Raw genomic sequence first — 18,319 nt, 5'->3', positions numbered from 1 at the left:
TTGGCTACAATCTTTCAGTATTGAAAAAACTTTTTGGTATACATCTGTATTTAGTAAAAGTTAAGAAACCCTCTGTGATAGTGGATTATTTATTTTTTATTATTTGTTTATTTTTTTGAGACGGAGTTTCGCTCTTGTCACCCAGGCTGGAGTGCAATGGCGCGATCTCGGCTCACCACAACCTCCGCCTCTCGGGTTCAAGCAATTCTCATTCCTTAGCCTCCTGAGTAGCTGGGAATACAGGCGCGTGCCACCATGCCCGGCTAATTTTTATATTTTTTAGTAGAGACGAGGTTTCACCAGGTTGGCCAGGCTGGTCTCGAACTCCTGACCTCAGGTGATCCGCCAGCCTTGGCCTCCCAAAGTGCTGGGATTACAGGCCTGAGCCACTGCGCCCTGCCTATTTTACTTTTTGAGATTAAGTCTCACTGTGTTGCCCAGGCTGGCGTGCAATGGCAAGATCTCCGCTCACTGCAACCTCTGCCTCCCGGGTTCAAGTGATTCTTCTGCCTCAGCCTCCAGAGTAGCTAGGATTTTACAGGTGCCTGCCACCACACCTCGCTAATTTTTGTATTGTTAGTAGAGATGGGGTTTCACCATGTTGGCCAGGCTGGTTTTGAACTCCTGACCTCAGGTGATCCGCCCATCTTGGCCTCCCAATGTGCTGGGATTACAGGTGTGAGCCACTTCACATGGCCAAATTATTTTATAGACTTGATTTTTTTTTTTTTTTTTTGAGATAGGGTTTCACTCTGTCCCCCAGGCTGGAGTGCAGTGGCAAGATCTTGGCTCACTGCAACCTCCACCTCCCGGGCTCAAGGGATCCTCCCACCTCAGCCTCCCGAGTAGCTGGGACTACAGGCGTGGCCACCACACCCAGCTAATTTTTTGTATTTTTGGTGGATACAGGGTTTCACTCTGTTGCCCAGGCTGGTCTGGAACTCCTGGGCTCAAGTGATCTGCCCACCTTGGCCTCTGGAAGTGCTGGGATTACAGGCGTGAGCCACCACTGCGCCAGGCCTGTAGACTTGATTTTTGATGCTCTTCCCCCTCTTCCAGGAAGGCAAGGGTGGCAATATTCCATTTCTCTGTTTAAAGAGTCCATGATATGAAGCAGTATACCAAGAAACCAACAGGGTGTAATCATTCATTCATTCTTCACCTTCAGCTAGGAGAGTAAATAAAAACATTTTCAGCATGTTAACATGGATTTACTATAAAGAAATCTGGGGCCGGGCGTGGTGGCTCACGCCTGTAATCCCAGCACTTTGGGAGGCCCAGGCAGGCGGATCACAAGGTCAAGAGATCGAGACCATCCTGGCCAACATGGTGAAACCCTGTCTCTATTAAAAATATAAAAATTAGCTGGGCGTGGTGGCGGGTGCCTGTAGTCCCAGCTACTCGGGAGGCTGAGGCAGGAGCATCACTTGAACCTGGGAGGTGGAGGTTGCAGTGAGCCGAGATCACACCATTGCACTCCAGCCTGGGCGACAGAGTGAGACGCTGTCTCAAAAAAAAAAAAAAAAAAAAAAAAAAATCTGGGTTATTTTTGAGTTAATGGAAAAGTTTAAATGTACAAATAAAATAACACTATGTTCAACTTAACCTTCGCCCAGGGTTATGAATGACAACAGTACTTGGTTCATTTGGAATTTAGAAGATAAGGAACTAGGTTATGTGACCACTGTGGAGTTTAGAAGATAAGGGATTAGGTTAAAGTTCCAACAGTAAGTTGAAAAAGCAGCAGTGGCATAAGAATGTCCTAAAGGAATATTAGGCCACTTCCATGTGATGGCCATTGATTTTGGTAGGGAATGATAGGGGGCAAGGCAATGGAGACAATACCATGGCATACATTTGGCAGAATCTCTGACATGGATTTTTTTTTTTTCAGGTTGCATGTCTGGTGGGTATAAGGAGAAAAGACTAGAAAATATGTTTTTGGGAGAAATGGGATAACCACTTCAAACAAAGAAACATCCATGCATACACACACACATAAAAACCAACACTTGCTCTTTTCTCTTCTCTGACCTTTTACCCTCAACTATCTTAAACTCAGTTGTATTTTAAGGATAGAGTCCATTTTAATTGAAGAAATTCAGGGCCATCTGGCATCTGATTTTATTCACTTATACTTCAGTTGGTCAGCATTTAAAGATTACTGTTTGTTGAAAAACATAAATTCATGGTTTTTCAGTATAGATTATATGTCAATCCATATATAACTAAGTTATTGTTTTCATGCCTTTCCTGTTTGGTGTTTTTTTTTTTTTTCCTTACCATTCTACCTGTTGGTATGTGCAGAAGGTATGTCAGGTGTGGACTGTCTATACCATAGGTTTGGTTCACTAGGGAATTGTGTTACTGGTTCAGGTGGAATGTAATTCTGCTTTAAGTTCAAGAATATTAGAACTTGAATAATTTAGCAAAGTTATTCAAGAATACAACTTTGTTTTGTTCTCATTCCATGTTCTAAGTCCTTGGCTCTTCTACTTTTCCTCATCTCATTTTTCTTCTTCTCGAATCTTGCCTTGGTTATGTGCCTGACTACACTGCTACTGCTTAGTCTCCATTTTTTCTATGTTCTATTTCAGTGTATGGGTTGAATACTTCTCTCTCTATAATAGAATCCTCTGTTTTAGGACCTAGTTCTTTTATTTAGAGCCACTGAACCAATTGCACTGTTCACCTTCCAAGAGTATACTTGATAAGAAACAGATTGCATGTTTTTCCTTTGTGCGCTTTTGTTATTTTGTTTTTAGGAGCAGTTTATTTTATACGATATTTGTTAAAATATCCTAAACTAAGTAACAGATCTGAGAAGTGGATAATCTTTTACCTGGGGATACCATGCTCTCAAGAGGCAAGTTTTTGGATTCTTTCCTGGGAATTGATTAATTCAGACGCACTTCCATAAAAGAAATAGAATTTTTGAGAACACAATTTCATCCTGCCCTCTATTTCCAGAATTCTGGATTCAAACTTTGCCAAATATATCTTAAAGATATTTTGAAGACATATAGGTGATGCTCTGTAATGTTGATCTGAATTGAGCCCTATGAAGTAACCCTTAACAGAAGAATAAATAAGGGCTAAACATGTCTTGGTTCTTTATTTTAAAAAAACAGACTTAAAAGAATGTTCTTTTAATCTTGACTGTGTTCTAATTTTAACTGCATCTAAAATAGTTAATTGGCCATCACTCCAAGTTTATCATGATAGAAGTAGACAGATATAAAACAATTTAAGGTAGGGAATTCTTTAATTAGCTGCTTAAGTTATTGACAGCCTGAAAATTCACCAACAGTTTATCCCCGAAGAGGGCAGAGCTGTTGTACTCTGTAGGCTGTATGTAGTGTTGACTGCGAGCATCCCAGGAGAAATCAGGGAATGGGTAATTTTGGACATGCAGAAACACCTCTTGTGAAGAGAGAGAAAAAAAGGAGGGGGTGTCAGTGGTGGGTTCAAGGTGTATGTACCTGCGGAATTGCTAGTCAAGCAGCGTAAAAACTGTTTTATGCTTTTTTTTTTTTTTTTTAAAAGACAGAGTCTCCCTCTGTCACCCAGGCTGGAGTTCAGTGGCATGAACATGGCTCACTGGTGCCTTGACCTCCCAAGATCAAGTCATCCTCCCATCTCAGTCTCCTAGCTGGGACTATTGGTGCATGCCACCATACCTGGCTGATTGTTTTATTTTTTGTAAAGACAAGATCTCACCTTTTTTTTCTTTTTTCTTTCTTTCCTTTTTTTTTTTTTTTTTTTTTTTTTTTGAGATGGAGTCTTGCTGTGTTGCCCGGGCTGGAGTGCAGTGGCGTGATCTCAGCCCACTGCAACCTCCACCTCCCAGGTTCAAGCTATTCTCCTTCCTCAGCCTCCTGAGTAGCTAGGACTACAAGGTGTGTGCCACCAAGCCCAGCTAATTTTTGTATTTTTAGTAGAGACGGGGTTTCTCCATGTTAGTCAGGCTGGTCTTGAACTCCTAAGCTCAAGTGATCTGCCCTCCTCAGCCTCCCAAAATGCTAGTGTTACAAGTGTGAGCCACCGTACCTGGCCAGGATCTCACCATTTTGCCCATGCTGGTCTGAAATTCCTGAGCTCAAGCAATCCTCCCGCCTTGGCCTCGCAAAGTGCTGGGATTAGAAGGATGAGACACTGCGCAGGGTCTATTTTATTTTTTGTACTTTAAAGGAATAAAGGAAAAATAGTTTTTAAGAGATCTATCATTTGAATACATTCAATCTTCTGAAGTAGGATTTTTTCCCCCTATTAGATAAAGCCTCTTGATTTCCAGGGCTTCAGAATTTGTGTTGTTCATATGTGCGTATTTGTTTCTTTTTGGCATTAATGCTTTATTTATTTATTTATTTATTTTTAAGAGATAGGATCTCACTCTGTCATCCAGGCTGGAGTGCAGTGGCACGATCATAGTTCACTGTAACCTTGAACTCCTGGACTCAATAATACTTTATTATTTCTTTTCGAAACAGGGTCTCACTGTGTCACCCAGGCTGGAGTACAGTGGCTCAATCTCAGCTTACTGCAACCTCCACCTCCTGGGTTCAAGCGATTCTCCTGCCTCAGCCTCCTGAGTAGCTGGGATTACAGGCATGCACCATCGTGCCCAGCTGATTTTTGTATATTTTGTAGAGATGGGGTTTCACCATGTTGCTGAGGCTGATCTTGAACTCTTGGACTCAAGTGATCTGCCTGCCTTGGCCTCCCAAAGTGCTGGGATTACAGGCATGAGCCACCGTGGCTGGCGTGCTTTATTCTTTAAAGGAAATTAAACTACAGAAATAGAATGACAGATATGTAACTTGTTGAATGGGTTTACAATCTAATTATTTGGAAAAGCAGATATTTGAGTGTTAACTTTCAACGTGTAGTTTAATACTTGAGTAGCACATAATAAGTTTTCCCTCCGTTTTACAGATTAGCTTAGTAAATTGAAAGGAACTTGTGAATCAGTCACATGATTTAATGCAAAACTCTCCTTAGGAATAAATTAGGCTAGCTTTGTTTATGTTCAAGAATCATAATCCATAGTTCTGTATCATTTATATTCTCCCTTCCCTCATTACATACTATTGCCCTTTCTCTCTCTTCCTTATCTCCACTTTTTATTCCTTTTTACATTGCTAATAAAGAGAAGACAAGTATCAGAATCTCTGGGCCTGGATTTGTGGATTTTTAACAGACTCTTCAGGTGATTCAGATGTAAACCAATGTTTGAGAGCCACTGATATCTGGGAAAGGATACTACTGGAAAGACTCTGAAGAAAGAAAAATCATGGAAAATGATTGATTGATTTAAGGGATGAAGGAGGAAACTAAGTCAAACTTTTCAAGCCTGACTTTTTTATAAAGATTATCATTTTTAAAAATTTGAAAGGGAGGGCAAGACATGGTGGCTCATGCCTGTAATCCCAGCACTTTGGGAGGCAAAGGCAGGAGGATCGCTTGAGCCCAGGAGTTCCAGACCAGCCTGGGAATGTGGCAAGACCTTGTTTCTACAAAAAGTAAAATAAACAGTGCTTGGTGATGTGCACCTATAGTTCCAGCTAGTCAGGAGGCTGAGGTGGGAGGATTGCTTGAGCCTGGAAGTTTGAGGCTAGAGTGAGCCAAGATCACATCACTGCACTGCAACCTGGGCAACAGAGTGAGACCCGGTTGCTAGATAGATAGATAGATAGATAGATAGATAGATAGATAGATAGCAAAGAGCGTTACTTTTTTTTTTATCTTGTTATATGTTCCACACCCATTTCTTTTATTTTTTGGTGGAGAGCTTATTTTTATGCCTATTATTAATGTTACAAAATTGTTTGAAAGACTGAATGGAAAACTTTTAGGAAGTAGCTTACACGTTGGAAAAATCTGGGTCAGGCAAATAAAGCGAAAGGTAAGATGGCCAAATCATGTATAAAAGGCTTTTAATGTTGAATTTTTGATTTAACATTTGATTTAATGTTAGAATTTGGGCACTTTATCTTTTATGACTATCGCACTGAGAAAACAAAGGTTTATTTGATTCTTCTTTCAGCATTATATGTCTCATATTCTTGATTCTGAACTTGTTTTTACCAAACCTAAACTTCTGTTGTGTTAAAAATGGCTGATAGGTGAAGAGTAGCATATTTTATGACCTTTGGTTTACTATGTCTGGTGATGTAATGCAAAATTAGTAAATGTGCTCTTCCTCTTTTATGTAGGACCAGTGGCTGTAGGACAATTTCACCGGTCATTTCGTCGAGATAGTTTGTCTCCTTACTCCTGTGTATCAACTCCATCCCACGACCACAGTACTTACCCTCTGAAAGGTTTAGATCGGACCCCAGTTCCTCATAGAATATGGCAGAACTCCCTTGGAATGCATCCTGGACAAGTGGAGACATCTCCCACATTTTCAGATAAAGGGGTTCCGTTTCCTGTACTCCAGAGGTTTCCAACTGAGGTTACCTATACACTGCAGCCCAGCACCACATCTGTACATGTTCAACAAGGTCCTCAAACAATGGTCAGCTCCTCCCAAAAATACAGTAACTACACACCCTCAGCACAGTACTCGCAAGCCTACTATCCAACAGGTATGACAAATTCAGGTTCATGGCCTTCTATTTAAGGTTGTTTATAATGAGCATATATATATATTTTAAATGCATTTTAATGTCTATGTGCTTTAACACAAACAGTAGGAATGTACACCTAAGAAATGGCAAAGATTTCTTAGCAGGAGATATTTTTAAACAATATACAAAATTTCATTGTGTTTTTAAGGATTGTGAAAATTTTGTTGATGTATAAAGGTGTGTATTGTTAGTGAAACTTGTATATTCAAAATATGTCCTAGTTATGAAATTAAGACTTAGTACCCCAAGGCCAGATGTGGTGGCCCACACCTGTAATCCCAGCACTTTGGGAGGCTGAGGCGGGTGCATCATTTCAGGTCAGGAGTTCGAGACCAGCCTAGCCAACATGGTGAAACCCCAATTCTACTAAAAATACAGAAATTAGCCAGGCACGGTGGCAGGCGCCTGTAATCCCAGCTACTCAGGAGGCTGAGGCAAGAAAATTGCTTGAACCTCGGAGGCAGAGGTTGCAGTAAGCAGAGATCACTCCACAGCATTCCATCCTGGACGACAGAGTGAGACTGTCTCAAAAACAAAAAGCAAAAAACCTTAGTACCCCAGAACCTTATTTTAACTCTGTACTTGGTGCTGTAGTTTTTTTTTAATATGTTTATTATATATTTAATATGGTTTAATCTTAAGGTGAGATTACCTCATAATGAAATCATTTAGTATCTCAGTAATGATATTTAATGAAAAAGGATACTCTCTGAACATTGAATTCTTTAGTAAAAACCTGGTGAACAGTGGGATCTCCGCAGTGTTATTCCTAGGCAGCTAAGAACTGGGGAGTAGCAGAGAGAAGGAGAAACCTGACAATGACAACTGACCTGGAACTCAAGCAAGGGCATTGAGAACACGCTGGTAGATCCCAAGCCACTAATTGGGAACGCTTATGATAGTTATCATCTGTTTTTTGCTTCTTGGGGAAAAAAAAAAGTTGTGTTTTCTTCTTTTCTTTTCTTCTCTTTTTTTTTTTTTTTTTTGGAGATGGAGTTTCACTCTTGTTGCCCAGGCTGGAGTGCAGTGGCGTGATCTTGGCTCACTGCAACCTCCGCCTCCTGGGTTCAAGCAATTCTCCTGCCTCAGCCTCCTGAGTAGCTGGGATTACAGATGTCCATCACCACACCCGGCTAATTTTTTGTATTTTTAGTAGAGACAGGGTTTCACCATGTGGGACAGGCTGGTCTCGAACTCCTGACCTCAGGTGATCCACCCACCTTGGGCTCCCAAAGTGCTGGGATTACGGGAGTGAGCCACCCTGCCTGGCCATTTTTTTTTCTTTTTTAATAGAAAACTTTTTGCAATATAATCTTACCATTTCACTCAAATGTATTTTCTTTTCTTTTCTTTTCTTTTCTTTTTTTTTTTTTTTGAGATGGAGTCTCGCTCTGTTGCCAGGCTGGAATGCAGTAGTGCAATCTCGGCTCACTGCAACCTCCACCTCCTTGGTTCCAGTGATTCTCCTGCCTCAGCCTCCCGAGTAGCTGGGACTACAGGCGCCTGCCACCAACTCTCGGCTAATTGTGTGTGTGTGTATGTGTGTGTGTATATATATATATATATATATTTATTTATTTTAGTAGAGACAGGGTTTCACCATGTTGGCCAAGCTGGTCTCAAACTCCTGACCTCGTGATCCACCCACCTCGGCCTCCCAAAGTGCTGGGATTACAGGCGTGAGCCACTGTGCCTGGCCTCAAATGTATTTTCAATTTTGCAAAAACACAACAGCAGTGGCATGTATTTCATCATGTGGTATGCTTTTTACACAATGATGAAATGAGGCAATAGAAATAAGACAAGGGTCAAAGCTTTCAGAAAAGACCAGAAAGAGAAGAAAGGGGGCATTCCAGAAAAGACCAGAAAGAGAAGAAAGGGGGCATTCCTTTGCCCTGTGAATTAATAATCTAGGATCTTTAATTTTTTCAGTTATGTAAATCTGGAAGCAATTTCTGGAGGTCTTTTGTTAGACCATTTCTCCCAGGCGGCACTAAAGGGAAAGCTAAAATATTTTTTTATTTTAAATATTAAAAAAAAAAGATATTTACTTAAAGTAGAAGAAATGTAAATTAGAAAAGGGAATGGAGTGGCCGGGCACGGTGGCTCATGCCTATAATCCCAACACTTTGGGAGGCCGAGGCGGGCAGATCACGAGGTCAGGAGATCGAGACCATCCTGGCTAACACGGTGAAACCCTGTCTCTACTAAAAATACAAAAAAATTAGCTGGGTGTGGTGACGGGCACCTGTAGTCCCAGCTACTGGGGAGGCTGAGGCAGGAGAATGGCGTGAACCCAGGAAGCGGAACTTGCAGTGAGCCGAGATCGCGCCACTGCACTCCAGCCTGGGCGACAGAGCGAGACTCCGTCTCAAAAAAAAAAAAAAAGGGGAATGGAGTAATTTGTTGCCATTTAAAAATTATAAATCTGGGCCTGGCATGGTGGCTCACACCTGTAATCCCAGCGCTTTGGGAGGATGAGGCGGGCGATTCATGAGGTCAGGAGTTCGAGACCAGCCTGGTTAACATAGTGAAACCCCGTCTCTACCAAAAAAATACAAAAATTAGCCAGGCATGGTGGCGGGTGCCTGTAATCCCAGCTACTCGGGAGGATGAGGCAGGAGAATCACTTGAATCTGGGAGGCGGAGGTTGTGGTGAGCCAAGATCACGCCATTGCACTCCAGCCTGGGTGACAGAGCAGGACTCCATCTCAAAAAAAAAAAAAAAAAAAAAGTATATATATATATCCCTAGCCCATACCTGTCGTCAGGCCGCGAGGGCAGCGCTGGGAGGAGGTGGCTGGACCCAGCAAGCGCCCGCGCGTGTGCCGTGAGGGGGAAGCTGCCTGCCTGTTCCCTTAGCCTTCCCTTCCCCCGCCCCCGTCTCCCAACCGTGCCACATGGGCGTCCGCTGCCAAAATCAGTAAAAAGGAGCTCAACTCCAACCACTACAGGGCCGACGAGACCTCAGGAAAAAAAAAACAGCAAGAAGCAATTGAACACATTGATGAAATCCAAAATGAAATAGACAGACTTAATGAACAAGCCAGTGAGGAGATTTTGAAAGTAGAACAGAAATATAACAAACTCCGCCAACCATTTTTTTCAGAAGAGATCAGAATTGATCGCCAAAATCCCACATTTTTGGATAACAACATTTGTCAACCATCCACAAGTGTCTGCACTGCTTGGGGAGGAGGACGAAGAGGCACTGCATTATTTGACCAGAGTTGAAGTGACAGAATTCGAAGATATTAAATCAGGTTACAGAATAGATTTTTATTTTGATCAAAATCCTTACCTTGAAAATAAAGTTCTGTCCAAAGAATTTCATCTGAATAAGAGTGGTGATCCATCTTCAAAGTCCACTGAAATCAAATGGAAATCTGGAATGGATTTGACAAAGCGTTCAAGTTAAACTCAGAATAAAGCCGGCAGGAAGAGGCAGCATGAGGAACCAGGGAGCTTCTTTACCTGATTTACTGACCATTCTGATGCAGGTACTGATGAGTTAGGAGAGGTCATCAAAGATGGTATTTGGCCAAACCCATTACAGTACCACTTGGTTCCTGATATGGATGATGAAGAAGGAGAAGAAGATGATGATGATGAAGAGAAGGAAGGATTAGAAGATATTGATTAGAAGGAAATGAGGAAGATGAAGAAGATGAAGATGATGATGAAGGGGAGGAAGGAGAGAAGGATGAAGGAGAAGATGACTAATAGAACACTGATGGATTCTGACCTTCCTTTTTAAAAATTTTCTCCAGTCCTTGGGAGCAAGTTGCAGGTTTTTTTGGTTTTGTTTTTTTTGTTTGTTTTCCTCTTGTGCTCAGTCACCCTGTTCTTGAGGTCTCTTTTCTCTACACCATGATTCTCAACTTATTTGGGGGGAAATACCTTGAGCAGAATACAAAGGGAAAAGAGTCTCTACCCCTTTCTGTTCGAAATTCATTTTTATCCCTTCTTGTCTGAACAAAAACTGTATGGAATCAACACTACGAGCTCTGTGGAAAAAAAGAAAAACTTCCTCCCTTCTCTCTGCTGGAAGCTGGAGGATGTGAGGCCCCTGAGTAGCAGTGCCCAGAATTCTAGCTTTTCTCCTCCTTTCTCTGAATGAAAACATTTAGCATTTACCAACATGTATCTGTCTACTTTCTCTTGTTAAAAAACAAAACAAAACAAAATCTTAGAAAATGTGTTTATAGAAGGTCACCAAAGGGTGGGTTTGAGATGTTTGGGGGGGTTAAGTGGGCATTTTGACAACATGGCTTCTCTTTTTGCATGTTTAATTGTGATATTTGACAGATATCCTTTGCAATTTGACACTTTTTAAAATAAATTCTCTGCTAATGATGACTTGAGCCCTGCCACTCAATGGGAGAATCTGCAGAGCCTGTAGGATCTTATTTGGAATTGACATTCTCTATTGTAATTTTTATCCTGTTTATTTTTAAATTTTCTTTTTGTTTCACTGGAAAGGAAAGATGATGCTCAGTTTTAAAGGTTAAAAGTGGACAAGCTGCTTTGTTACGATAAAACTAAATGTGTACACACAAAACAAAATTATAAATCTGGTGACTGTTCTATTTAATAGTACTCACTATTTTCTAGCTGTTAATATCCAACCATATACTTGTATCGTTGGCTCATTGTACCTAAATATAGCAGTGAAAGGGATTATTTTCCCAAAATGTTTTAAGTTTAATGATATTAAAATCATCTAGATTGAGTTTTATAGATTTTCAGAGCTGTTACTCTTTTGGTGAATGGCGTTGAAAAGAAAAGGAGGGAATTACATGAAGTAAGGATGATTTTGGACTTTTAATCATTTTGCCTATTAGAAATTAAAAAAAAATTTTTTTTACCATGTTACATAGAAAATGGTTAAGGCCTAATTTTTTCCCCCAGATTTGCCCAGCTACTTCTTTGAAGAACCAAAATATATGCACAATCTTTGAAAACAAGATGGCCAGGTATAGTGGCTTACACCTGTAATCCCAGCAATTTGGGAGGCTGAGGTGGAGGATTGCTTGAGCCTAGGAGTTTGAGGCTGCAGTAAGCCATGATTGTGCCACTGCATTCCAGCCTGAAAATGTATTCCAAGTTTCAAGCAATCCTCATGGAAACTACTGGCTCTAAATTTTATGAAAAGTACTCATATATTATTCACTAAAACCACTACAAATGTTATAGTTAATATTTATTATAGAACTGCTGTTTGTTAAAATTATTGTTAAATTTGGACATGCTGTTTTAAAAATATTTTATTTTAGCTTGATGTAAATTATAAATTGGGAGTTGTCTCCAAGTGTTTAAGGTAAGAATTAGGAAGGAGGCATTAAAAAAAGAACAAGTAAGTGCTGCTGATGTTTTTATAGTATACAGTATATAGAGAATTTTGTGTTAACTGAATTTTTGTTTTGTCTTCTTTAATAGGGATGATTGAAATGACTATAAAGTTTCTGAGATTATGAGAATAAGAAATCTCATGATGACTTCTAGTACATAATGTGGGCAAAACTACTTTGAGCATTCTGAAGTACTTTGTAAATGAAAAATTTTATTGTTAATACAAAAAACTTGCAATGGAAAAGAAAGTGCCATAAAAATACCCTAGAAATACTTAATTCCTCCAAGTTATGGATGAAGGAAATAAAAAGTAGTGAGCAATTTAACCAATATTTAGTGAGTACTTATTTATGAAGAGTATTACAAATGACTTTACCAAAATTAAATAGAGTATCATTCTCACGAGGCGGGTGGATCACTTAAGGCCAGGAGTTCCAGACCAGCCTGGCCAACATGGTGAAACACAGTCTCTACTAAAAATAGAAAAATTAGCTGGGTGTGGTGGCAGCACCTGTAGTCCCAGCTACTTGGGGGCTGAGGTGGGAAGATTGCTTGAGCTCAGGAGGTTGAGGCTGCAGTGATCCGTGATTGTGCCATTGCGAGCAAGACCTTGTCTCAAAAAAAAAAAATTGTGTTATAAAAATAAACTTGGATCTGGTCTTCAAATAGTATAACCAGTAAATTTTGAATTTTATAATATTTCATAAATTGTTAATTTCTTTAGTAAAGTCAAACATTGAAACTAAAAAGTTGCCATCAGACTAACTCATAAAATGACTCATTGGAATCATTTTTTTTCTTTCTCACGTTAGAAGCAGACTGGAATCATTTTTTATATTTGTTGTTTTTCCCTTGAAGTGTCAGTTTTCCATTCTTACCACTTCTTCAAAGGCAAGATTTTGTAGATCCAGCATTAGTTGACTCTTTTTATTCTTGCTTTATCTAGAATTCAATTTTTCCTCTGATGTTATTTTTGGTCTGCAACTGTAATTTAATTTTCCTCTTTTATGAAAAACTTCATTTTAAACCTTTTAATTTTACTTATTCTCCACTATATATTTGAACATACTTAAGAATATTCATCTTTATATATAGAATCCTATATTGAGAACTGTTTTTCTTTAATGCTGAATAGACTCAAAATCAACTTTGCCTTTTTTTCAAAGTTTTAAACTCAAGGCAATGGTTAGTAAATTTGTAGCTGCCCTTCATCTCTTTTTTTATTAACACATACTTATATAGTAATCACTATGACCAGGCAGTGTTCTTAGTACTCTTTAAATATTCACTCATTTAATCCTTATAATACTTTTATAAAATAGTGTAATTATCCTCATTTTAAAGATGAGGAAACTGAGGCACAGCTAGGAAGCTGTGGGCTTGGAAACAAATCCAGACAATCTGACTCAAGAGTCTGTTCTTTTGGCCACTGTGCTCGCCTGCCCCCCTGCCTGTCTGCCTGCCTCTCATGAAGAGGGTCTTTTGTTTTTTGCTTTGTTTTTTTGAGATAATTTTTTTCTGGTATATCTCTTCCTCAGAGTTAGTTCTTCCCAGATAGGGTGGACAACAGCAATTGGTAGGGGAATCTACCTTTTTATGCTGCTGGTGGCATTGGGATTGCTCTGGGTTATTGACTCACCAGAGTAGAGAGAATGTACTCCAATTGCTAGAGTGGGAGGTTCAGCCTGGGGGCTCTGGGGAGTGGGGCTGCCTCTAATTCATTTCTGTATCCCCCTACACCTAGCATAGTGCTTGCTGTAATGGGCCCTAAGTAAATAATTTATTGAATGGAATGAACTAGTTCTAGTCCCAGGTTTGCAGTTAATCATTGGATATGAACTTCAGTGGATTATATCATGTTATGTGGCCTCATTTCCCTTTCTATAAAGTGGCCTTAATAGTTTGAGTGAGGAATTAAATAAATTAATATATGTGAATAGGCTTTGTAAAATTTAAACACTATTTACATGTAAAGGATCAAGTGTTTTAAAAGCTGTGTTTATTTTTATTTTTATTATTTTTTAAGAGACAAGGTCTCACTTTCTCACCAGACTGGAGTGCAGTGGCATGATCATAGCTCACTGCAGCCTGAACTCCTGGTCTCAAGCTATCCTCCCACTTCAGCTTCCCAGGTAGCTAGGACTACAGGCACACACCACCATGCCCAGCTAATTAAAACACTTTTTTTGGGGGGGGTACAGCTAGGGTCTTGCTTTGTTGTCCAGACTGGTCTGAAGCTCTTGGCCTCAAGTGATCCCCTGCTTAGCCTCCTGAGTTGCTGGGATTACAGGCATGAGCTATTGTACCTGTCCAACAGCTGTTTTTTTTAAATGGTCCTAGAAGGCTGGGCACAGTGGCTCACGTCTGTACTTCCAGCACTTTGGGAAGCCAAGGCAGGTGGATCACTTGAGGTCAGGAGTTTGAGACCAGCCTGGCCAACATGGTGAAACCCCATCTCTACTAAAAATCCAAAAAAAATTAGCCAGGCATGGTGGCGCACACCTGTAGTCCCAGCTACTTGGGAGGCTGAGGCAGGACAATCACTTGAACCCGGGAGGCCGAGGCTGCAGTGAGCTGAGATCGCGCCACTGCACTCCCGCCTCGGCAACAGATCAAGACCCTGTCTCAAAAAAGTAAATAAGCCTAGATATTAACACTTTAAAGGCTAAATAACAGAATTTATAAGAATATATGCTTTCCCCCAAGGTACACGTGATATTTTTAATTTTTATTAGAAAATATATATCTGGCCAGGCATGGTGGCTCATGCCTGTAGCCCAGCACCTTCAGAGGCTGAGAGGCAAGAGGATTGCTTGAAGCCAGGAGTTTGAGACCAGCCTGGGCAACAGAGCAAGATTGTGTCTCAAAAAAAAAAAAGAAAGAAAAGGAAAGAAAAAGAAAAAGAAAATATCCATTTTGGCATGCAGTTCTAGGTTAAAAAATACGTATGTGTGTATCATTTAAGATTTTTCTGAATTGGCCCTTGGGCAAAAAAAGTTACTGATTATTGTTTTAAAGTACATTTAAATTCTATAGGTGTGATCTTTATGCTTCTAATCCTACATCAATGTACATAAATATAGAATATAGAATTATAAGAGCTTTTTGGTGCTGTTACTCTTGTTCTCAGGCAGTCTGTATTGCTTCTCTGAAAATACTTGATTTTGTGCTTATGGAAAAGAGGCACTTAGCACCAGGAAGCTCTCTCTCTCCTCTGCCAGGAGAAACTAAGCAAAAATACAATCATATTTACCTTTTTAAAAAATTGTGAAAAAAATATGCATAACATAAAACTTAACCACTTTAACTATTTTTCAGGGTACTGTTTTGCAACATTAAGTACATTCACCATCACCACTGTCTATCTCCAGAACTTTTTCATCTTCCCCAACCGAAACTCTGTACCTGCTAACCACTAACTCCCTATTAGAGAATGCCAACCTGTCCCTGAGGTGGAGAGGTTGTCCCTAGCAACCACCATTCTATTTTCTGTCTCTATGAATTTGACTATTCTAAATATCTCATATAAGTGGAATAATATATTTAATATATAAATTTACCATCTTTTTTTTTGAGACGGAGTCTCACTCTGTCACCCAGGCTGGAGTGCAGTAGTGCGATCTTGGCTGACTGCAACCTCTGCCTCCCGGATTCAAGTGATTCTCCTGCCTCAGCCTTCCGAGTAGCTGGGGCTACAGGCGTGCACCACCACACCCGGCTAATTTATGTATTTTTAGTAGTGACGGGGTTTCACCATGTTGGTAAGGCTGGTCTCGAACTCCTGACCTCGTGATCCGCCTGCCTTGGCCTCCCAAAGTGCTGGGATTACAGATGTGAGCCACTGCGCCCATCCAAGTTTACCATCTTAACTATTTTTAAATATACAATCCATTGACACTACTTATATTCACAATATTGTGCAACCCTCACCATTGTTTCCAAAACTTTTCATCACCCAAATTAAACTTGGTACCCATTAAGCAATAGTTTCCCCCAACCCCTGGTAATCTCTAATTTATTTTTTGTTTTTATGAATTTGACTTTTCTAGGAACCTTACATGAGGAATCGTATAATATTTGTCCTTTCATGACTGGCTTATTTCACTTAATGTCTTTAAGATTCATCTATATTGTAGTATGTGTCAGAATTTTCTTCCTTTTAAAGGCTGGATAATACTCCATTGTATATGTGTAACACATTTTGTTCATCCACTCATCTGTTGATGGATACTGAGTTGCTTCCATCTTTTGGCTGTTGTAAATTTTGCTGTGTTGAACATGGGTGTACAGATACCTTTTCAAATGCCTGCTTTCACTTTGGGGTATAAACTCAGAAGACCTTTTCTTTACCTCACCATAAATGAGGAGATACTGGGGTTCTAGTTGCCATAGGAACTTATCTTGAAATTAAATATACTATTATAATGCTTTTTCTTTTGAGCATTTATATTATTGGGTATTTTCTCACTGTTGACATTATACTATTCTGGAGTAGATTCAAATTCTAAGTATTTTAATTCTATATTTGAATCACTTCCATAGGATAAAGTATATTAACTTGTTTGCCTCACCTATAGCGGGAGCAATAATTTTTAGTAACTCTGGCTTAACATTTTTTTATTACTTAGACATTTTTTGAAAATGTCATTAATGCCTATATTTATATCTGAAATGGAATTCTTTTAATTATTTTCAGTTTTTCTTTCTACATGGAATTTAATGCCTCAACTGAACACTGCCTTCAGGAAGACACTGAAAGTTCTTTGTGCAGATGAATGTATCTTAGGACATAGTGATAAACTAAGTTTTATAAATGTCAGTGCTTTCATAATGCACAGTTGATTATTTTTTCATATACTAGGCACATAGTCAAATTTCTATGCCTAGGTTTTCATATTCAGTAAACTTACTAATACTTTGTTCTATTTTGTTGACTATACAAAATAGGACTACAGTGGTAAGGAATAGCCATTGAGGAATCTTTTTGGAGTATAATCTATTCAAATCCTCATTTTCTTCATACAGGTACTGTTTTACTTTCCATTTGTTACTGGATACTTTAAAGAACATTTACTTTTTCGCTGTTTCCTGAGATACTAACTCAGCTATCAAGCTATCAAAAATATATTAACATATTCTCTGTTATATATTGTAGTTTATTTCTCTGAGAAATTTATTTTAAAGTACATTTTTACACCTATTCAAAATGTGTAACCAATGGAGTCAGAAACTTCCGAACAATAAAGCTAATCCTTTTATTGATTTATTTGTAATGAAACACAGCTTTTTGGTACCCCGATGGAATGGACCTGCAGCTCCTAAGTCTTTCTCTACTTCTGGGTGGCTAGATTTTCCTTAGCTGCTATAACTCTAGGGGAAAAAGCTTTTTTTTTTTTTTTTCCCTTCCCGAGTTTTGGCAAGCTCTGCAGATCCTGCTTGGTGTTTAGCTATTTGGATTCAATTTATTTCCTAGGATATTTGTGCTGTCAAATACTTTGGGAAATCAAATTCAAATCCAAAACATTTAAAATATATATTTGAATAACCTTCAAAGGATCAAATCTAAGAACTGTTCAGCTAACCTGTATTGGAAATGATAACAGCTTGAATTTTATGAGGCAATCTTAGTAATATATGGCCTTTTAAAGTCACCAAAATTGTTAAAAAAAGTCATCCAAAAAATAACCTTTATATTTATGTCTGAACTATAATTTTGCCCATTATTTCAAGTTTTCTTTCTGTGTGCAAAATTTAATGGTTAAATTGCTCATGATACAAAGAGAAAATATTTATTTCTAGTATATCTTCATGAACTTCTGATGTTTCAAGAATCAATAGTCATGGAGAAATAGGGAAGCATTTCGGCTATTTTTTAAAAATTCTTAGGTCAATTTACCTTTAAAGATTAAATAATGAGATTAGCACACTCAAAATATGAAAAATGTGGACATAAAAAGGGAGAGTTGCCACCTTATTGATAAAGACACCTTTAAAGATATTCGGCAAGTAGAATTCTAGTAAAACTACAAATGTTACATTTCAGGAACAGGGTTTAGCTTAGGGAATTATTGTGAGATATATATATATGTAAATTTTTTTTGTACATAGAGTCTTACTCTGTCACCCAGGCTGGAGTGCAGTGGCACAATCATGGCTCACTGCAGCCTCTACCTCCTGGGCTCAAGTGATCCTCCCACCTGAGCCTCCTGAGTAGCTGGGACTACAAACATGTGCCGCCAAGCCTGGCTGTTTTTTGTATTTTTTGTAGAGACGGGGTTTCACCGTGTTGCCTAGGCTGGTCTCAAACTCCTGGGCTGAAGGGATTCACCTGCCTC

General features: G+C 39.3%; 1 protein-coding gene and 1 pseudogene across 2 annotated transcripts in view; both read left to right on the top strand.

The window, feature by feature from the left end:
* HSF5 (heat shock transcription factor 5) overlaps positions 1-18,319 on the top strand; it is a 68,242-nt gene that overhangs the window by 1,926 nt on the left and 47,997 nt on the right. For both annotated transcript variants that reach the window (NM_001080439.3, XM_011524283.2), the window contains exon 2: positions 6,216-6,590. In NM_001080439.3, the coding sequence (NP_001073908.2) occupies positions 6,216-6,590 (375 nt within the window). The remainder of the gene's footprint in view (positions 1-6,215; positions 6,591-18,319) is intronic.
* SETP3 (SET pseudogene 3) lies at positions 9,381-10,492 on the top strand (annotated as a pseudogene).

This window comes from Homo sapiens, chromosome 17 (assembly GCF_000001405.40).
Source record: "Homo sapiens chromosome 17, GRCh38.p14 Primary Assembly".
Lineage (NCBI taxonomy): Eukaryota > Metazoa > Chordata > Mammalia > Primates > Hominidae > Homo > Homo sapiens.
The sequence above is the reverse complement of the archived record's forward strand: the minus strand, read 5'-3'. Positions and strand labels throughout refer to the sequence as shown.